Genomic DNA, 22,477 nt, shown 5'->3' with positions numbered 1-22,477 from the left:
ATTTTTGCCCTTTAGCTAGATGCAACTTTTTATATGTAACCTCCCAGGCATATTCTCTGCTATTTATTTATTTAACAAATGCTTAAATAGTACTTACTATGTGTCTGAGGTACTATTCTAAGACTTTGAGAATATTGACTCATTTAATCCTCAAAACAGCTCAGTGAGGTAGGTACTGTTATTAATTCCACTTTACAGATGAGGAGACTGAGGCACGAAGAAATCCAGTTATTACATGGTAGAGCCAAGATTCAGATCCAGGCTGGTTGCTTCAGAATCCATGCTCTTAACCATTATGCTCTGCTGCCTTTCACATGCAGATATATATTATTTTGTCCCAGCTTTTAGACAAATGGTAGCATACTATATACTATAAACATTGTTATATTCCTTGCTTTTCCACTTAAGTATATATTTTGGAAAGGATTTTCTACCAGTAACATACAGATGTCGATTTGGATCTACCATAATTTATAAAAATGTTTCCTATTGATAAACATTTGAATTTTTTTTCAGTAAATACTCCAATTAATACCTTTATATATTTGTCATTTATTATGCATGAACACTTCCATAGAATAAATTCCTAAAAGTGGAATTGCTAGGTCCAAAGGTAAGTGCATTTCAAATTTTGGTAGGTATGGCAAACTTGCTGTCCATACAGGTTGTGCCAATTTACATTCCCCTCAACAACTCATAAGAGTGACTGTTACCGCACAGCCTTACCAGCGCAAGGTGTTAGGAAACTTTCTTTTAATCATCACCAATCTGACAGGTGGAAAATCATCTCAATGAAGTTTTTAATTTACATTTTTCTTATTATGGATGAAGTTGAGCAACTATACTACATTTAATTTAGTATTTCATTTCCTACAAATAATCTGTTTATTATCCTTGACCGTTTGCAATTTGCCTGTTGATCTTCTAAAATTGATTTACAGGAGATCTTTTTATATTAAGAAAGTTAATTCCTTTTCTGTAATATAAATTGCAAATGTTTCTGTCTGTGAATTTTTTTTAACATCACGGAATTTTTGCCCTGAAAAAATATTTATTTTCTTTTTTGGCTTATGGATTTTGTGTCATACTTAGAAAAAACTTCTCTCCATTCCAAGATTATTTTTAAATGACCTTTCTTCTACTCTTTTTCATAGTTTTATTTTTTATGCTAAAACACTGACCCATCTGGAATTTGTTTTGGGTCAGATGTGAGTTGTGGATTCAACTTTACTCTTCTAGGTTTCTGCCCAATTGTCTCAATACTATTTAATCAACTATCTCTTCCCCATAAATGTAAACACCACCTTTAGCATATACTAAGCTCCTGTGTGTGTTTGGGTTTAGTTCTGGACTTTCTAGGCTGTTCCATTGAGGAATCACTCATATTTTGAAAGGACTCTTTAGCTTATAAAATGATTCCTAAAGGAATCCTATATATATCAGAATTGTCGTTTGTATTTTTAAGTATTTGTTTATACAACATTTAGTACTTTGGCAAGGAAGATTGGGGGAAGGGGGAGGAGGCAGTGAAGCTTAAGACTAATTTGTTAGGAAAAAGTATATATTGACAGTCCATCTGAAATTTTCATGTAAATCACTGAGAAAATAGGAGTTGATTTACAGAAAGAGCAAGGAACACCCTGTTTATCTAAAATGTGAGATGCCTCTACAAAGCCACTCACAAAGTGCTATTTCAGAATATGCACAGTGGGTGACAACATTGGCTTTGGAGTTGGTCTGCCAGGGTTCAAATCCTAGCTATAAATAATGTCAATAGTAATACCTTGAAGAAATGCTGTGGCTATTCTCCAAGGGCCCCAGTGTACTTCCTTGCCTATACATTCTGCCACAGCTCTTTTGGAACATAGCTTAATAGATTTACTTCGTCTAAGTCTATTTGACTTTGACTATTTGACCTGGTAGATTTGAGCCCACACTACCACTGTTACTTGCTTGCTTAATTTGGTGCAGGAGTAGCCAAACTACTGCCAGCAGGTCGAATCCACCCTACGGCCTGTTTTTGTACTCAAGATTTTTTTTTTTTGCTTTGAAATGGGGTCTCCCTCTGTGGCACAGGCTGGAGTGCAATGGCATGATTTTGGCTCACTGCAGCATCAACCTCCTGGGCTCAAGTGACCCTCCCACCTCAGCCTTCTGAGTAGCTGGGACTGTAGGTGTGTGCCACCATGCCTGGCTAATTTTTAAATTTTTTTTGTAGAGACAGGGTCTCTCTATGTTGCTCAGGCTGGTCTTGAACTCCTGGGCTCAAGCAATCCTTCCGCCTAGGACTCCCAAGGTGCTGGGATTACAGGAATGAGCCACCGCGCCCAGCCTGTACTCGCAATTTTAGAGGATTGTAAAAAAAAATCAAAAAAAATAAACAAACAAAAGAAGAATATGTGACAGACGCAGTATGTGACCTGCAAAGCCTAAAATCTTTACTATCTGGCTTTTTGTGCAAAATGTTTGCCAGCCCGTCCTGAGTCTGGATTTGTTGTTTATCTTGTAAAAATAATACTCAGCTTGCTAATAACAAAGTAAGCTGTCTGTTGCACTCCAAGAACAATTACAAGGCATTTGTATGGCATAAAAGTAGGGTCATGTTGGTTTATTCCCCAGCGTGTAGCTGGTCCTACCCTCATTTTCATGTATCAGCTGATGGAGATTTAAAGACTCACAAGAGATTTTCCTTTGCATGACTTTGAGACAGGATTTGTGGTTAAAAATCTGAGGGAGCTTTCAAAACAGACTTTTCAGGCTGCAACCCATCCCTGTTGCAGGCTTGTTTAGAGTAAGTCAAAATAACTAGACATCAATTTATTTTTAAACCATCTATTTTCTTCTTGTTGGTTTTATTGTGCACTCATAATGAATCATTTCCCTCTGCCTTTCTCCTCCTCTCTTCTGTGCATGCACACGCATGTACATACTCTCCTTAGCTAAATCTCTAGGGGCTACAATTTTTTCTTGGGTAGATGAAATCATTGAATTATAGACTATTAAAGCTTTTGTGATACTATATAATTTTAAAATAATATTTAGGGACTTCAGAGATAATTTTACACAAGTGCATTGTATATAAAATTACACAAACCCAGGCTCACAATGTGTACACCAATTAACTGGAGGCATGAGAGGTTTAATGACATGCCTAAGGTCACACAACCAGGAAAGGACAGAGCTGGACTAGAGGATAGCTCTCCTGACTTTCAGTGCACAACTTTGCCTATTAGATTATGCTGTTTCATTATTAAAAAACTAAAGCATTTGCCCTGCTGTGTATGTCTCCTCTGTTCTCTAAGGCACTAAAAGCAGGCGGGGTTGGAAAGTAAATGCAAAGTCAGAGACTGTCCTTTTAGCTTGTTCTCTCTTCCTTTGAGTTCAGATTGGACCTGTCAGTGTTACCAGTTTCTCTCCCCATACTCCAGGGTAAGGAGAAAAATAGTCTACTAATTTTTATTCTTTTATTTGCTAATTATACCAGTATTGCTGGGACTGCTCATCTGATAGTTTGTTTTGCGAGCCAAAGCTATTGTTGGTTCTTTAGAGATGAACTCTGTTCTGTCTTTCTTCCCAAATATTTCATTATTTCCAATCTTATCTGAAATCGAATTAGTTGGATTACCTTTATTAAACTGGAGACCCTCCCCACTGCGCGGTTCTGCTAATCTCAACCTAGGTGTACCTTAGCAAGTAGGAGCTGCAATTTCCAGCTTTCATATCTGGGTTTTCACTCCCAGATCTTCTTTGAGCTCAAACTCAATCTGCCTCTCTCGTTCTTCTCCCCTAGAAATGTGTTTTAAAGACTTTTGAGCAAGCTCTCAGCAAAGGCTTCTTTGTCTGTCAATGGGAAGATAAACAGTATAGAGTGTAAACACTTCACTTTAAAAGATACTTAGTTCATTCTTTCACATCTCTAGAGACCTAAAAGAATTTTTTTTCCCCAAGGTAGAGCATACTCTACATACTCTAGTGGTATTTAACAAGTGGAAACTGTAGAGTGATAGAGTGTAACTGAAGTGGACAAAGATTCTGCCTTTTTCAAATTCATAAGAATATCCTTGACTGAATTCAGAGAACCCTCCATATTTCGAGCAGGCCTCTTAGGGCTTTCAGTGTCTCAGTTCAAACCCCAAGCTTTTCAGGGAGCATTTAACATTAGCTATACCTTCACAGCCAAATCATTTTCCATATTTCTTAAACTGTGATATAACACTGATGATTTGGAATAACTGATTGAGATGGTGAGCAGAGACCAGTCTGAATTAATGAAGCATTTTAATGTTGTATTGCCTCGGATATAGGTCTCTAGAGGAGTCACTTAAAAATATTAATAAGAATTATTCTTGTGTTTGACATAAGTGGTTACTTGAATATTTCCTTGAATAGATGAAGCATCTCCCTTATTATCTTGTTTACAACACCCACTGGTTAAGTCATCACCAATTCCGTGTGTGTAGAGTTCAAATTAGTGGTTCCCTCATGTGAACCAGGCTCATTCCATGGATTACAATTATGCTACAGTCATTTACATGTACACCCACACACCCAGATCCCATGCAAAGGGATGCATCTTGTATCTATAAAGGCACAAAAGATAGATGGCTTTATGCATTTTAGAAGAAAAAAATGGATGTCACGATATGTAGAGGGAGGCAGGATTTTTTTCTTAAAAAAGCAAATATCTACCTCTGGGCACTGGGCACCTCTACCTGGCCTCATGCTACTTTTCTGACTTTTTCATTCAACGTTCATTGATCCAGTGCCCACTCTACCCAGGCACTATCTTTTGTCCTATGCCTCACAAGGCCCTTTTCTTTACCAAACCTTTAGTTAAAGTGAGAGGCGTGAAGGTTGGTTGAAGCCTTCTTTGTAGCTCCTGCTGCTGATGATCATTGGCTTCACTTCGCTTCACTTCCCCCATTCATTACTTTGACACTTGGTGAGTTGAGATCCACCTTCCCCCACCCTACTCACTGCTTTGAAAAGCAGCAGTGTCTTTAACCAAGTAGCAGGAATTCACTGAGTAAAGTGACATATATGCAGCAGGTGCTAAATGGGGGCCCACTGTGATGACTCAGTCAGTACTGTATTTTGAGAGAGAGTGGAAGGCCCTGAAAGAGGACATCTTTGAGATTGTATGCAGAGGATGGTGAGGTGTCCCAGGCTGGGAACCTCCGTTGTGATACTGACATTTTTAAGTTTCAGAGCTTTGGTTTATTGCAGATACAATTTAATAAAGCCAGTGATTCTTAACCTTTTGAACTTTCCACAGTCCAGCAATTTGATGACAGGAAAATATTTGAAGCAGGTATCCTGCTGCTATTGCCTTTTGATGGCTCATTCTCCCATTCATTCACACCCTTAAACAACTGACTTAGGCTCACACACGCCCGTCAGTTGGAGCTCTGCCTGGGCCTATTTTCTGTTGCAGATCTTCTTAATATCTCCACCACCCATCTTCAGTTAACTGTAGATCTTCTTACTATCCCTATCACCTATCCTCAGTTAACTATGTCATGAGACCTCTTCTTTTGAGTTTCCCATTATGCTCAATGAATGAAGGGTAATTGAGGCATGAGACACATGAATCCATGTGAATCTGTTGTTTCTCTCAAGCAAGAGTTCTCAATTAATTTCAATGTACATGATTCCAGAAGAGCCTAAATATTGAATCTTTGACTCTGAACTCTCCCATTGAATGGTGAAACTTTCAGGCATTTGACAAGCCAGTAAAAGAAATTTAGATGGTGGTGGTGGTATTGTTCTTTGGTATTTTCTTTCTTTCTTTTTTTTCTTGGAAAGAACCACCTTCTCAGCCATGTGCAAAAATTCTGGTGAGCATTCTTCATACCCTTGGATGCCATGGCCCAAATGGTTGAGATTCCTCTTACACTGTATAGAAACACAGGTTCAAATAGGCGCAACCACTCTGGACTAGAGGGTGGAGGGCGATGCTCTAGCAAAGGCAATGGAAAAAGTCCCAATTCTTCAAAAGGAAGGCCTGATTCTGTATGGGTACTGCTGCCAATATTCATTTATTTTTGTTGCTACTGGAAGATGTATATATGCTATTCCAAGCAGAAAAGAGATTAGCACCCTTCCTACTGCCACCTTAAGTCACCAAGCCTCTTAATTCTATCTCCTCGATAAATTTTCTGTCTTTCAATTACTTTCCACAGTCTTAGTTATTTATTAATGGCAGCAGATAACTCATTATTTTTCCTACTTCTCTCCACCATCTTTAGTTTCTCCCTCCTACAATCCTTTCAGTAGGCACTGAAAAATGTTTATTCAACCAAATGAAATGCCACAAATTCAGTTTTTTTCTAGGTCCATTATTGGGTCCATCTTGCTTAAACCCAGTCTGTAGCTCTTTGTTGCCTGATGAAATAGGCACAAGCTCCATAAACTGCTCTCTCCCTAGTCTTTTCAGCTTTGTTTCCCAATGTGCTCCAAGACAGACCTGAGGCTCCTATCACACTCAGTCCTTGTTCTTTCTCACTGATCAATGTTATCTTTGTGTCCACCCTCACCCTATTTGAAGTTTTTCTATTTATTTGCTTTAGGTTGAACTTTAGTCATTCTTCAAGATCTATCTTAAATAAATGCTTTGCCTACTTTATATCAAATAGTCTCCTCCTGCCAGCCTTCCCTATTCCCCATCTTCCCTGTATTATTTTACCCAATGGCCCTTATCACCATCTGAGATGCATTTTACTAGTTTGTTTATTGTATTCCCTCACTCCATTAGAATTTATGTTTCATGACCAGCCTGGGTTATGTGGTGATACCCTGTCTCTAGAAAGAACGTTCTAAAAATTAGCCAAGTGTGGTGGTGTACACCTGTAGTCCTAGCTACTTGGGAGACCGAGGCAGGAGGATCACTAGAGCCTGGGAGGTCAAGGCTGCAGTGAGCTATGATCATGCCACTACACTGCAGCCTGGGCAACAGAGTGAGACCCTGTCTCAACAACAACAACAGCGAAAGAATTAATGTTCTATGATGGCAGGGACCTTTGTAGTTTTGATTACTGTTATATCCCCACTACCTAATAGGTTCTTTATAAATATTTTTGAATTAATGAAAAAATGAATATATGACATCATATTGTGTATCTCAGCTGGAAGTTCTATCTCTCTATGATGTTTTGGCACTTCATTTATATTGCACTTCTCATGTCGTGACTTGTACTATGAGTTTCTTGTTATTTTTATATACCTACATACATTTGTAATGTGATCAGGATAAAAAAGCCATTAATTTTGAAATTCAAAAAGTCTGAGTTAGACAATGAGATGCTATCACATACCCATCACTGTGACTACAATGTAAAAGATCAAGAAAACCAGGTGTTGATGAGAATGTGGAGGAATTGGAACTATCAAACTTTGCTGATAGGTGTGTTAAAATGGTACAACCACTTTTGGAAAAATGTATAGCAATTTCTTATAAAACTAAGCATACACACCCCATGACCTAGCAATTCCATTCTTAGGTATGTACTCAAGAGACATGAAAGTATATATCCACACAAAGACTTGTACAGGAATTTTCACAGCAGCAGTGCTCATAATAGACAGAAAGTAGAAATGTTATCTATCAATAGGAGAATAAGTAAACAAACTGGGGTATCTCCATATAATGGAGCACAATTCAATAATGGAATGGGACACAATACTGATTTATAAAACCACATTGGTAAATGCTTACACAAAAGAGTACATACCTTGTGATTCCATTTATATACCCTCTAGAGCAGAATAAACTAAACTATGATGGAAGAATTTCAGAACAGTGGTTGCCTCTGGATATGGTGGTGGCATTGACTGAAAAGGACATGAGAGAACTTTTTAGGGGAATTATAATGTTCTAAATCTTTATAGGGGTTTGGGTAGCTGAGGTGTATGCATTTATCAAAGTCCAGCAAACATACATGTAAGATTTGTGCATTTCATCGTAAGTTTTACATCAAAAGAAAACACTGCAAACAAATATTAAATCCTAGTTGATGATACGCATGCTATAATCATATAGTATATAGTTGAAGTATATTGATATCTGCAATTACTTTGAAGTGCATCAAAATTAAGATAAATTGATCAATGAGTAGACAGACAAGTAGATGATGTATACATGATAAAACAGAGTAAAATATTAATGGCAGAATTTAGGTGGTAGGTATATGATTTTCAACCCCTTTAAACTTTCCTGTATTTTAAACGTTTTCAAAATACAATTCTGAAAAAAAAAAAAAAAAAAAAAAAACAGATCTGGCTTTGAATTTTGGCTCTGGCACTTATAGTAAGTAACTAGGAAAATCACATAAACTGTCAAACCTTCAGCTTATCTCTCCATAAAATGGTCATAGAATAGTAGCTACCTCACTGGGTATTCCTCACTCCTTAGCCTTTCTCCAACTGATATTTGGGAGCAAAGGGTTAATTTTGGAATCGAAACTATGTTTCTGATTGGGTTGGCTAGTGGCAGTGTTTTATATTTAATTATGCATCCAGGACTGTGAACACAATGAATTAGAACAGTATATCCCAATCTTCCTTGGTCATAACAATTACTCTACCCCAGACCTACTGACATAGAATTTTTATTGTCAACAAACTCACAGTCTATCAGAGAAGATAAATAGGTAAAGGGAAAATTACAATAAAACATAAAGTTCCAATAAAAGAAGAAATCATGGTCTCCATGGAAGTATATAGTAAAGGCACAGAATCCACCTTGGGGATGGTGGTCAGTGAAGACATCCTAGAGGCAGTGACATCTGAATTGAGCATTAAACAACTAATAAAGTAATCCTGACAAGCATGGACGGTCATGAGTAGAGGGTAGTATGTTTTAGGCCTCAGAGACACAGGGAGGCTAGATGAGAGAGTACGGCTCACTTATTGCTGAAATCAGAACTCAAAGTGCTCCTATTTCTTCCCTAGTGCATTTGATGTGTATGGCCTTTTGATGAAGCACCATCTTCACCTTCTAGGAACCTCCAATCCAAAGGAGCGACTCTCCATTGTAAACTCAGATGATGATTTTATTTTTTATTCAAAAGGGCTTTGCTTTGTTGCATATGCCACTGAATAAGCCAGCGTTAGGTTACTGATTTACAAACTTTAGGTGCTTATATTACCCTGGCAGACCGATTTGTTGCTATCCACATCTGTCCCTTGGCTCATAGGTAATATTTTTGCAAAGGCATTTACCTGTTAAAATGTTTGGAGTGAATTATATGCATTTATTCTAGGAAATTTTTGCAGATTTTTATGGTGGAATTGCTGACCCACTGAGCTGTTGTCAAACCTTGTTGAGGAATGCTGGAGATAGGCCCTTTACATTCCTTCATTCAGTCACGTAAGGTTTACAGAGCTCTTGCTATGTGTCTATACTGTGTGAGTTGCCAAGGTTACAGAATTAAGTAAGATACAATACTTATGTTAAGCCAATATAAGTTCTCAAAGAGCTCACAGTTTGGTGGGAGAAAACAAATAGGCAAGCAGACAAAGACAATAGAGAGTGATAAGATATGTCAGAGTGGGAAGCACAGATGGCAGGAGGACTCCAGGAGACCGTTAAACAGTACTTGATACCCTGAGGAGTTCCTGTGCTGCCCCTCACACATCAAGGTGACACTTGGAAACATGCTCTGTTAAATTTTCACTGAGACAACCACGCACTCTCTTGCTGACCCCAGTGACAAGTGGCATAGATCTGTGAGGTGAGTGGCCAGAGTTCAGGGGTCAGTTGATGGCAGCGGAAGAAAGCAGAGCTAATTGGCCCACATGGGCTTCAAATTGGCAAGCATGGCCTCATTAGCACTGTGGTCCTCCCTTCTGTGTGCTCTGGCTACCAACTTGGCTTCCCAAAGGGACCTTCAGAATCCAGGTATCTTTGGTCAACGTTTTGCTCTCTGGGATCTTATAAGCATGTCCAAGAGTGTTCTTCAACCTTGATTTTCAGAAGGGGAAATCAAGGCACAAAGAAAATCAGATTGAAATGAAATTGCTGACAATTTCATGAGGAGTTTTCCAGCTTCTTTGATGAGTTTACATCTTCATATGGTCTGTGCACCCCTAGGGTGGGTAACAGATTTGCTTCTCCTACCAACACTTGACCTGCTAAGCTGCGGAGGGCTGCTCATCATAAATTGTAAGGTTAGCTCTGAAAATGAGTCTTTCAAACACAGAAGAGGGAAAAGTCTCCCCTTCATCCCTTTCTCTGTTTCATCTTCATGCCTCCTCCAAGTTCAAAACACTCAGTTCCTCCAAAATTTTAAAATTTCTCCCCTGCACTCCCCAGTCCTTAACAAGCTGTTGATGTTCCAGGAAATGTCTTTTCCTATGAAAGACATATCACGGCAGCTAAACAGCTGGAGTCCTCTGACAGCCAATCAGCCAGGCCTTAGGGTATCAGTGTGATGAGCAACTCAGCTAGAAAGTGTCTATTCTCTAGCTGAGCAAATGTCATCTCCACCAGGAAGCTGCAAAAGGATGGTGAGAGACTGCACTGAAGTGTCTGTGAGGCTGAGTTCCAAAGGAAAAAAAATCTATAAATACAAATATGCTGCAATACGGGAGTGTCTGATTCAAGGGTAAATATATGAATGTATCTCTCTATAGACTGTTCAGGAGCACTATTTACACACTCTATACATTATGTGGAATGATTATAAATGGTGTGGCTTAATAGACTTCTTACCTTAATAAATACATAGATTTTCCTTAGGTAGACTCTTGGAAGAAATTCACACCATTGTGCAACTGAACTAAATAAAACCTACTGGCTTTTATACTTGAAGAAAATGGCAGCCCACCACCAGCAGAATAAGACCATTAATTGGAATTGGTTTGCTCTAATCCTTGCATGCACTCATTAAGGTTATCAGCATCCTTCTGAGCAGAGGTTCCCAGGTCAGTTAAAAAAAGAGAAGAAAGTGTTTGTGTGTGTTTAAATAGATAAATGTAGATAAATACCTGGAAAACTAATATTAGATTGCCAGCATTTTATTTTGACACATAAGAACACACATACACACACACACAACTACCAACAACTAATTATCACTGTTATACCATAAAAGTGAATTTAAATACAAGCAGAAAGGCCAGAGTATTAATATAAAAACAACCCTTTCAGTTGAATATATTGAATTATAAGACTAATTTAGTCTCTGTAAAAAAAGATAAATATAAATTAAGAGAAATAGACAAACAGAAAAATTACAAAAATATAATTAAATTTCATCCCCAGCAGGAGTAAACTCCATCACAGACTGACACTAATTCATGAGCTGGCATATGGAAGCCATACTGATTGAGAATTTGGGCTGAACCCAGCTATAGGAAATGGGGTAGGAACCATGTGGCATGAGAACATGCCAGGAGGAAAACCACAAGTTCATAAAGAGGACAGCATATAGCTGGTAATATTCCTATCACAGGGTCAAGAGAACAATGGGAATCCAGCATGATAGTTAACATAATAAAATAATTTAGATTGGTGGTAAATGGCAGAACATAAGGTCAAGAAGATTCAACTAATAGCAAGAGAAGAGTCAGATCTATACAGAAAGCTTAAATATCTAATGCTGTATAGTAAATGGTCAGCTGGATTAGTGTCAAATTATTTTAGCAGAAATTTGGGAGAAGTATATAATTTTGGAAGACTGAACATTATTGACTCTGTCTTCCAAGATAGGAGAGGAGTAGCTTCATTTTGTAAAACACTAACAGTTTTTCTGATCAAATAGATTTTCACATGGTTCCTAGCTTCCACACTCTTCCTAGCTTCCCTTGCCATGCAAGGGTACTTGTACATATTTCCTTCTGGCTGATTTCTTAAGCTCTTTACAATTCTAACCTCTCTTCCTCTTTACATTTTTTTTCACCATCTCTCGCTGTTCTTTGTTTCTTGGCAACGTGTACACAGAGTTCTCAACTGAAAATTCAGTAAACATATATTCTGCATCCACTATTTGCAAGACACTATGTTAGGCCCTGCAGATGATCCAAAGAGGAGTGTGTCTTAATTTCTGCCCCTAGGGAACTTATGGTTGAGTAGAAGGTGAGGATAAAATAATTACCCTAATATCTACTAAAAGCTAGACCATAACAGTTTCCCAACAGAGAAATATGAGGGATAAGAGATTGTATCTAGCTAGATGACTAGGAAAGTTTCAGAAAGAAGAGAATGTTTGATATGGACCTTGAAGGTGTCTAGGATTTTGATAGGTAGAGATGGGGTTGAGAGAAGAGCAGGAGCAGAGACTTGGAATGATTCTTGGCCATTGGCCATGCCTAGGGAGCAGAGCCAACTGTAAGTGCTATGATGAAGATTAAAAAAAAATGATAGTGATTAAAAGGCTCTTGATTTGAAATCAACAAATTATAATAATTTGTTTAACATAAGTATTTTGAATTGTGTTAAGGGGAGTGAGTTAATGAATAAATTAATTTGAAAAACCACATAGAGTTAATTGAGTTCACATCTGTTAGCTGCGCAATCTTGCACAGGTTACTTAGCATATATGTGCCACAGTTCCCTTACCTGTGAAAAACAGGATAATGGCTTTAAAACAGTGCCTGGCATATAGTAAGCAAATAATAAATTGTTGCTATTATTACTTGAAAATCAGAGTCTGGCAATGAGTTGAGTTTCAGTTTCTCTCTAGCGGTCTTTCTGCACTTAGAGAGGTCCTATGTGCTAATTTTCAGACTGACCATTGTAATCTGTTCCTTGGATCTCAGCATAAAGCCATGATCTGAAAGTCCTGTACCTGGCAGAGCTTAGAGTTGAAAGATTACCAGGAAGAAGGAACAAATATGTGCATTCCAAATCACACATGTAGCTGGAAAAGAGGTTAGAAGCTTACCTGAAACACTGAAAGTCACTTTGCTTGAAGTAGACAATTTTCCAGATTAGTCACAAGATGCTCAGTGCTTCTGCCACTTTTGCAAGCACAGGTGTGAGGCAGTTAGGCGTGGATGTGCGATTTCCTTGTTTTTCAGCTAATACAAAGAAAGCCTGATTGCTTGAGCTGGTGCCTAACAATAGGCAGCAGCTGTGGGTTCACTCAACAATTGCTGGGAAGGAACATTTTTTCCCCTGGGGTTATATTTAAATCAGGGAGCTTGCTTTCTGGGAGAGGAGCTGAAAGAAATTGCTGCTGCAGGTAGGTGGTCCTGCTTAAGAAGCCCAGGCATATCAAACTCACCTAAAATATCAACTACATTATTGGGGTGGTTATATTTAGAGTACAAAGGGGTTCCTTAAATCTGAAGGTGCTTCCCTAGTTCTTTTATGCTTTGTTAACATATCATAGAGCATTGATTGAGAGGACTAAAAACTAAAGTGTTTGCAATTAGCGATCATTGAAGATCCATTAGGAAAATACATCAGTCTCTGGAGTCAGTGAAAAAATAGAATTCACTTTATTCATAATTGTTCTTGTTTGCCTCCTGTATTGAGTTTCTACAATGCTCCAGACATTGTAATAGGCACTGGAGATACAAGGATTCTCCTCTTTTCATTTGGGAGGAAGTGGTGGGTCAAATAATAGAGATATGTATAAGGTAGGGTATAGGCATAAAGTGGGGTTATGGGGGATTGTGTTTTCTTCACCTCTGTGGTCTCATGTCTCTCTCAGTGCCTGCTTGGCAAATAGTAAAAGGTCATAAAAGGTTTTTGAATTTACAACAGTAAAAGGGAAATTTTACATAACTCTACTGGAGTCCAAAGAGTGTATAAGATCCAGCCACTCAGGTAAGTCATAACAGCCATAGAGTCTTTTCTGTATCACTGCGTCAGGTCTCTGCTCTCTCTTTGATGAATGAGATGATTGTTTCGATGTTGCCCCCACCCCCCTCATCCTCTTTCTAGCATGTGCACACACACTTCTTTTCTGGTTATTTCTCTACCCTGCGGGGGTTGTGCTTAGCTGAGGTTTAAGAGGCGTCTCTTATGCTTTAAGAGTCTGGATGCCCTGAACAGGTGAGGCAGCTCTAGGACCCTTATATCCCTCTTTTACTTAGTCCCAGGAGTAATCACTATCTTTCTAAAGAAAGGCAAAACATCAGGAAACAAGCTACATACAGTTGCCAGTAGTCTGTTCAGAAGTTGCTGAAGATGGGATATATGAGCCAGGAGTGAGGTCTAGGAGAAGAAATGACAAAAGAGAAGCTGCAAATGCCATAAGCGGGGGCAATACTATTTAGATATCCATCTTCTTGGCCAGTTGAGCCAAAACATTTATTATTTGTCTTGGTAATATCCAATGTCCTCCTTTTAGGTATTTGAAACTATATATCATTAACTATAGTAATTCCACAGTGCAGTAGTACACTAAAACTTATTCCCCCTATCTAGCTGTAGTTTTGTCTTTTAACAAATCTCTCTCCTCCACCCTTCCCAGACTCTAGTATCCTCTGTTTTACTTCTTACTTCTGTGAGACCAACCTTTTTTTTAGCTTCCACTTATGAGTAAGAGCACATGGTGATTAACTTTCTGTTCCTGGTTTATTTCACTCAACATAATGTCCTTCAGTTCCATCCGTGGTGCTGTGAATGACAGGATTTCATTCTTTTTATGGCTGAATAGTATTCAATTGTGTATATATACCACATTTTCTCTATCCATTTATCTATTGTTCAACACCTAGGTTGATTCTATGTCTTGGCTATTGTGGACAGTGCTGCAATAAACATTTTTGTAGCTATGGTAAATTGGCTTGCCTTCTTGATTTCTTTTTCAGCTAGTTTGTTGTTTGTGTATATAAATGCTACTGATTTTTGTATGTTGATTTTGTATTCTGCAGCTTTTCTGAATTCATTTATCAGTTCTAAGAGATTTTTGTTAGAGTCTTTTGGTTTTTCTATGTATAAGATCATGTCATCCACAAACAGGGACAATTTGACTTCTTTCTTTCCAATTTGGATGCCTTAGATGCCCTTTATTTATTTCTCTTGCCTAATTTCTCGACCAGGACTTCTAGTACTATGTCGAATAGGAGTGGAGCAAGTGGGCATCCTTGTCTTGTTCCAGTTCTTAGAGGAAAAGCTTTTAGCTATTCTCCATTCAGTAGGATGTTAGCTTGGGTTTGTCATATATGGCCTTTATTGTGTTGAAGTGCTTTTCCTTCGATACCTAATTTATTGTGAGTTTTTATCATGAAGGGATGCTGAACTTTATCAAATGCTTTTTCTGCTTCTTTTGAGATGATCATATGGTTTTTATTCTTTATTCTGTTGATGCAATGTATCATGTTTTTTGCTTTGCATATGCTGAAACATCCTTGCATTTCTGGGATAAATCCCACTTTATCGTGCTGTATTATCTTTCTGATGTGTTGTTGGATTCAGTATGCTAGCATGTTGTTGAGGATTTTTGCATCTATGATCAGGAATACTGGCCTGTAGTTATTTTTTACGTTTTGTCCTTGCCTGGTTTTGGTATCGGGATTATGCTGGCTTTGCAAAATGACTTAGGAAGAATTTTCTCCACTTTAGTTTTTTGGAATAATTTGAGAAGAATTGGTATTAATTTTTCCTTAAAGACTTGGTAGAATTCAGCAGTGAAGACATCCAGTCCTGAACTTTTCTTTGTTGGGAGATTTTTTACTAATGATTCAATCTTGTTACTTGTTATAGGTCTGTTCATATGTCCTACATCTTCTTTGTTCCATTTTGTTAGGTTGTATGTGTCCAGAAATGTGTCCATTTCATTTAGGTTTTCAAATCTAGTGATGTATAGTTGATTATAATAGTTTCTAATGATCCTTTGTATTTCTGTGGGATCCACTGTGACATCTCCGTGCTTCTGATTTTGTTTGGGACTTCTATGACTTTTACTTGGTCTAGCTAATGGTTTGTTAATTTTATATTTTAAGAAAAACAACTTTTTGTTTTATTGATCTTTTAAAACTTTTTTTAGTATCAATTCCATTTATTTCTGCTCTGTGATTTATTATTTCTTTCTTTCTACTAATTTGGGGTTGGTTTGGTTTGTCCTTCCTTTTCTAATTACTTGAGATATATCATTAAGTTATTATTTTTATTTTTATTTTTATTTTTATTTTTATTGAGACGGAGTCTCACTCTGTTGCCCAGGCTGGAGTGCAGTGGTGCGATCTCGGCTCACTGCAAGCTCCGCCTCCCAGGTTCATGCCATTCTCCTGCCTCGGCCTCCCGAGTAGCTGGGACTACAGGCGCCCACCACCACGCCTGGCTAATTTTTTGAATTTTTAGTAGAGACGGGGTTTTACCGTGTTAGCCAGGATGGTATCGATATCCTGACCTCGTGATCTGCCCATCTCGGCCTCCCAAAGTGCTGGGTTACAGGCGTGAGCCACCGTGCCCGGCCATCATTAAGTTATTTATTTGAAATCTTTCATGTTTTCTTTTTTTATGTAAGGATCTGTCAAGTATTCACTTTTTTATTAGTTCCCTAAAACTTATTCATCCTGTAAGTTTGCCTCTCAGTACTGCTCTTGCTGTGCCCTATAGATTTTGGTGTGTTTTGTTTCTATTTTCATTTGTTTCAAGGAATTTTTAAATTTCATTTTTAATTCCTTCCTTCACCCATTGGTCATTCTGGAGCATGTTGTTTAATATCCATGCATTTGTATAGTTTAAAATGTTCCTCTTGTTATTGATTTCTAGTTTCATTCCATTTTGACCAGGTAAGATACTTGATAGGATTTCCACTTTTAATTTTTTTTTTTGTTGAGACTTGTTTTGTGTTCTAACACATGATCAATCCTGGAGAATATTCCATGTGTAATCCATGCTAGTGACATTTTGAGTGTCTCAGGGCCTAGACAGTGAAGAGTTTGTGGTTGTGGTGCTGTGGCTTTGCTGGGGGTAGACTTGCAAGGCATTTCTCAGGTTGGGGGAGAGTGTGTGCCATGGTGAGTCAACCAACTTGGGGCTTGGGTTGGTTCTATGAGGGCTGTTACACTCTGGCTGGGAGCACGCTCACGCAGTTGCTTGGCTGGCCTGGGGGTTTGCCTGCCAGGAAACGGGGCTATTTCTCAGGCCTGGGATGTGGTTGTATGGCTTCTCACCTGGCCTGGGTATGTGTCTGCTGGGGTGGCTCATGGGGCTGTTTCTCAGGCCTGGCATGCAGGTGCACAGCTGCTCAGCTGACCTGGGGTGTGTCTGCCAGGGACAGCCCACAGGGATATTTCTCAGACCCAGGATACAGTCCCATGGCTTCTCAGCTGGCATGGGTAAATGTCTGCTAGGGGTGGCCGTAGGGCTGCTTCTTAGGTCCGGGATGCGAGTACAAGGCTGCTCGGCTGGCCTGGAGGCTTGCCCACCAGGGTGGCCCGCGGGGCTGTTTCTCAGTCCCAAGGCATGGGCACTCTGCTGATTGGACGGGGGTATATCTGCTAGTGGTGGCCCTGGAGCTTTTCTCAGGCCCTGATTAGGGTCTGCATGGCTATTGGTCAGGCCAGGGGCTTGTCTGTAAGGGGTGGGTCTGTTTCTCAGGCCTTGGGAGTGGGTCTATAGCTACTCCACCTTCTGGGAGTGCGTCAGCTGTTCAGAGGCTTGAGGGCCTTTCCTGCATGAGGGAGGGAATGCAGCAGTTTGGCTGGCTCAAGGGTGGGTTTGCACTGGGTGGGAATGCCAGACTGTTCCTCTGGCTGGAAGTGTCTATGGTGGGAGTTGGTTTCCCTGTTGTGCAGGAGCAAGGTCATAGCTGATCCTGGGTCCAAGCTCTGCACAGCTGGGGTTGTAGTGTTCAGCTACCAGTGTGGGCTTAGTGGAATGAAGATGGAGCCCTAGTGTTGGGGAGGTACAGTAGACTTTAGCAGCGGGTCTAGTCTCAAGTTCACAGGGGGTAGGTGTGAAAAATCTGTGGGATTTTCCTGTAGTAAGGACTATAGGTTTTTGTGAGGCAATGGAGGCTGGTGGGGTTCTTCTGCTTGCCTTTGCCCCATGATGGGAAGTCCCTTCTGGCTCCAGGCAGATCTGATCCAGGTGAGGAAGAAGGGGCTGTAGAGGCTGGGTGCTTCCATGCTGCTCTTCTGGATTTCTAGTCAACAAAGGTGCATCTGCACTGCAGCACTCTTCTTTTGACACTCCAGTTAAATATTATTTGTTTTTTCATTGCCTTGGTCCTTTCTTGTGGGGGGTGAGGGACAAGCACCTGGTGTCTCTAGTGGATCATCTTGCTGATTTCTCTCTCCAGCACACAAACTTATTCACATGGGGAAGAACCACAGAGTGATAACCCCAACACCCCAATGGGGCACAGAAGATTATATATCATCTTGAGGTTAAAGAAACAATGGGGGCTTAGCTTGTGGCAAAATCGATTATGGGAGTGGGAGAAGAGGAGTCCTGGCTAGCAAGGTGGTCTTGTTATGTAGATGAAACCTCACAGGTAGCAGCCCTCAGAAAGAATAGATGGTAAATATTTCTTTTTTTTTTTTTTATTATACTTTAAGTTTTAGGGTACATGTGCACATTGTGCAGGTTAGTTACATATGTATACATGTGCCATGCTGGTGTGCTGCACCCACTAACTCATCATCTAGCATTAGGTATATCTCCCAAAGCTATCCCTCCCCCGTCCCCCCACCCCACAACAGTCCCCAGAGTGTGATGTTCCCCTTCCTGTGTCCATGTGTTCTCATTGTTCAATTCCCACCTATGAGTGAGAATATGCGGTGTTTGGTTTTTTGTTCTTGTGATAGTTTACGGAGAATGATGATTTCCAATTTCATCCATGTCCCTACAAAGGACATGAACTCATCATTTTTTATGGCTGCATAGTATTCCATGGTGTATATGTGCCACATTTTCTTAATCCAGTCTATCATTATTGGACATTTGGGTTGGTTCCAAGACTTTGCTATTGTGAATAGTGCCGCAATAAACATACATGTGCATGTGTCTTTATAGCAGCATGATTTATAGTCCTTTGGGTATATACCCAGTAATGGGATGGCTGGGTCAAATGGTATTTCTAGTTCTAGATCCCTGAGGAATCGCCACACTGACTTCCACAATGCTTGAACTAGTTTACAGTCCCACCAACAGTGTAAAAGTGTTCCTATTTCTCCACATCCTCTCCAGCACCTGTTGTTTCCTGACTTTTTAATGATTGCCATTCTAACTGGTGTGAGATGGTATCTCATTGTGGTTTTGATTTGCATTTCTCTGATGGCCAGTGATGATGAGCATTTTTTCATGTGTTTTTTGGCTGCATAAATGTCTTCTTTTGAGAAGTGTCTGTTCATGTCCTTTGCCCACTTTTTGATGGGGTTGTTTGTTTTTTTCTTGTAAATTTGCTTAAGTTCATTGTAGATTCTGGATATTAGTAACCAAAACAGCATGGTACTGGTACCAAAACAGAGATATAGATCAATGGAACAGAACAGAGCCCTCAGAAATAATGCCGCATATCTACAACTATCTGATCTTTGACAAACCTGAGAAAAACAAGCAATGGGGAAAGGATTCCCTATTTAATAAACAGTGCTGGGAAAACTGGCTAGCCATATGTAGAAAGCTGAAACTGGATCCCTTCCTTACACCTTATACAAAAATTAATTCAAGATGGATTAAAGACTTAAACGTTAGACCTAAAACCATAAAAACCCTAGAAGAAAACCTAGGCAATACCATTCAGGACATAGGCATGGGCAAGGACTTCATGTCTGAAACACCAAAAGCAATGGCAACAAAAGCCAAAATTGACAAATGGGATTTAATTAAACTGAAGAGCTTGTGCACAGCAAAAGAAACTACCATCAGAGTGAACAGACAACCTACAGAATGGGAGAAAATTTTCGCAACCTACTCATCTGACGATGGTAAATATTTCTTTCGGGCCTTTAAGGGTGTCACACTTTCAGTTAATCATTCCTAGATCTGGACAAGGGAAGGCCTCAGAGAAAACCTGGCTTCATCAATGCAGATTCTCTACAGGTACAAATCTTCCACACAAAAGAAAGCTTTGCAGGGCTACTTCTGTTTGCAGGTCCTTTGAACAACCATGTCAAAATATGGCAAAGAAATATTTTGATTTTTTTCCACAGAGTGATAATTTAACTATTTAGTATTACAAACACAACACAACCTTGTTTGTCACTCCTTTGCTCAGAAAACTTCCATGATTCCCTGTTGTCCTGGAGAATCAAGTTCCAAAGTCTTATCTTGGCATTTACAACTCTGTAAGATTGAACCTTAAGTTAAAATACTCTAAGAATGCTTCTAACATTCTCTTTTCATCCATTCTTCAAAATATAGAGTCAGATTCAATTAAGGAAAGGAGAGGGCCTCTTCTGGAGAGCAATGAGCTGTGTATAAACACAAGTAGAGTCAGTCCTGTTTTGTAGAAAAACCTACCGAATTCCAAAATAAGTCCTCTTCACTTTGGGGTAGGCAGGGATAGACTGTGGAGGCATGCAGGAGAGTACTGGTAATCCACAAACGAATTCTGATTACGGTTAAGAAAGTGACACCCAAAGAGAATAAATCCCACAGCCCAGTTGTAGAAAAGTTGAGCTAGGATTCTGTTGTCGTGTCTTTCAGTCTGGTGGATTTTTAGGCCAGCTTTAATTTGCTGTACCCGCTGCCTTCTATTACCTAGAGTGGGATAGGTGTGGGTCTAAACAACAAAATTTATTTTCGGCCATTAACAAATTAGTACTAATTAATTTCTCAGAGCCACTTGTAATCCCACATGATATCCGAAGGAAAGGGGTCACGTAGGTTACTCGAATAGATAAGTGTAGGTGAGAGACATGAGATACTGCAGTGAGGGCATCACCAGATGGTACACAGCAATGGGAGGCAGCATGAGGTCACTGGGTGTCTAGAGAGCAGAGAGCCAGGAAGAGAGTGAAAGCATACCACAAGCAAGAGTCTCTTATTTCTCAGCCTTATATGTGTACTTCATTTGCCTTTGAGAGAAAGTGGGGGTGGCGATGGGAAATGCACTGATGGCTGAGTTTCAGGGTTGACTTGAAATCTGCTAAAGAGAAGTCACCTAATCCTGACCTTCATTCATTGACTGATACTGAATTCTGCATTCAAACAAATTACTCTTTGCAGTTAAAAGCTCCACAGATGAGTTCTTTTGTAAGCTGTGCTTAGTATACTAATGAATCATACTTGTCAATAGATTTACCTTTGAAGGGCTTATGAGGTACAGTTTATCAAAAATGGCTTAGATCTTCAACCTGTTTCTAGGATTGTCAGTTAGCAAATGCATTTGGATGCTTAGAGCCCCCATCCTGGCACCTCACTAGAACTTGACCTAGGCTTTAATCTTTAGCTATGGTTGTCTTGTGCTCTTACACCTCAGGAGCCATGCTATTTCTAAATTCCATGGATCTTTATCAGATTAATATGTGTGTGTGTGTGTGTGTGTATATATATATAAACATATATATGTATAGAAACATATATATAGAAACGTATATATATAAACATATATATATAAACACACACACACATATATATATACACACACACACACACTCTGAGATGAAGAAGGTTGAAGCTCTCTCTGACCTTCCCTCTTCCCCGACTGTCTCTCCCAAAGAAGCTGAAATTCCTTTATCTGCCTAAGATCCAGACCCACCAAGGAGAACAATTGTTTTTTTTTCTTCCATTTCCTGTTATCTCTTTATCTATTGCAGAAAAGAAGACCAACATGTGACTACACCTGAACAGACACTTTTACAAGTATAATGTCTATCTCCAAAGATCATTTAAATTCCAAAGAGAAGTATTTACAAGTTCCCATATCCATTCATTCTCCTTGGTAATCCCCTCAACAGAATTCCTCTTCTCCCCCATCCCATAATCTGTTTTACCAGGATTCAAACCCCCATTCTTTCTATAACCTTGAAGTGGTATTGCATCCACCTTTGCAAAGATTATTGACAGTGAGGGAAATCTAGCATGGCTGACTCCATCTTGCTTCTAGCCTCACAGGCCGGCTATGCTCACTCATTCCTGGGTGTAGGCCAAGCTAACCATGGGAGGAGCTTATAGTTTAACTTCCAAGCAAGGATGATAACAGTCTATTCTTAAAACTGTTTGCCTTCTTGTTCAGGGGCTTAAACTGCCTTTGACTAATGAAAGGCCACAAGATTAGGATTATGGGAGGGGCCGGAATTATGCTAAAATGTAGGCATAGTTTTTATAATGCCTTACTGCTCAAGGGTCATGTTGCCAGATGTCACATGATTTGTGATGTCCCCAATTGCTCCTATAGATAACATAACTATTGTAGAGCTAAGATTGGTCTTTTGAGATGTGTTTCAAATATTTGCATTCTGGTAACTGACTGACTCCACTGGGAGTTGTGACTCATGACTCAGCTTGTCCTGTGCTCAGCCCCCTCAACCCAGAGGCTGACTCAGTGCATTCATTTCTGTAAAAGAATGTGAAGACCATTTTCTACACCCCTATGATTGCATCTGCAACCAGTCAGCAGTACCCATT

The 22,477-nt window shown here is 39.4% G+C and overlaps 1 long non-coding RNA gene across 11 annotated transcripts in view, besides 4 other annotated features; it reads left to right on the top strand.

Annotated features, from left to right (window-relative positions):
* Positions 1-22,477, top strand: part of LOC124905213 (uncharacterized) — a 275,363-nt gene that overhangs the window by 82,101 nt on the left and 170,785 nt on the right. The window lies entirely within an intron of this gene.
* Positions 12,172-13,142: an enhancer, noted in NCBI's record as "OCT4-NANOG-H3K27ac hESC enhancer chrX:128225167-128226137 (GRCh37/hg19 assembly coordinates)". NCBI's record gives its function as "activates a minimal SCP1, AML or CMV promoter by ChIP-STARR-seq in naive and primed H9 embryonic stem cells {active_cell/tissue: H9 hESC(naive and primed)}" and the evidence as "EXISTENCE:reporter gene assay evidence [ECO:0000049][PMID:30033119]".
* Positions 13,143-14,115: an enhancer, noted in NCBI's record as "OCT4-NANOG-H3K27ac hESC enhancer chrX:128224194-128225166 (GRCh37/hg19 assembly coordinates)". NCBI's record gives its function as "activates a minimal SCP1, AML or CMV promoter by ChIP-STARR-seq in primed H9 embryonic stem cells {active_cell/tissue: H9 hESC(primed)}" and the evidence as "EXISTENCE:reporter gene assay evidence [ECO:0000049][PMID:30033119]".
* Positions 16,666-17,472: an enhancer, noted in NCBI's record as "H3K27ac-H3K4me1 hESC enhancer chrX:128220837-128221643 (GRCh37/hg19 assembly coordinates)". NCBI's record gives its function as "activates a minimal SCP1, AML or CMV promoter by ChIP-STARR-seq in naive H9 embryonic stem cells {active_cell/tissue: H9 hESC(naive)}" and the evidence as "EXISTENCE:reporter gene assay evidence [ECO:0000049][PMID:30033119]".
* Positions 17,473-18,279: an enhancer, noted in NCBI's record as "H3K27ac-H3K4me1 hESC enhancer chrX:128220030-128220836 (GRCh37/hg19 assembly coordinates)". NCBI's record gives its function as "activates a minimal SCP1, AML or CMV promoter by ChIP-STARR-seq in naive H9 embryonic stem cells {active_cell/tissue: H9 hESC(naive)}" and the evidence as "EXISTENCE:reporter gene assay evidence [ECO:0000049][PMID:30033119]".

Source organism: Homo sapiens, chromosome X (assembly GCF_000001405.40).
Source record: "Homo sapiens chromosome X, GRCh38.p14 Primary Assembly".
In the NCBI taxonomy this organism is placed as follows: Eukaryota; Metazoa; Chordata; class Mammalia; order Primates; family Hominidae; genus Homo; species Homo sapiens.
This window is presented reverse-complemented; position numbering and strand designations above follow the sequence as displayed.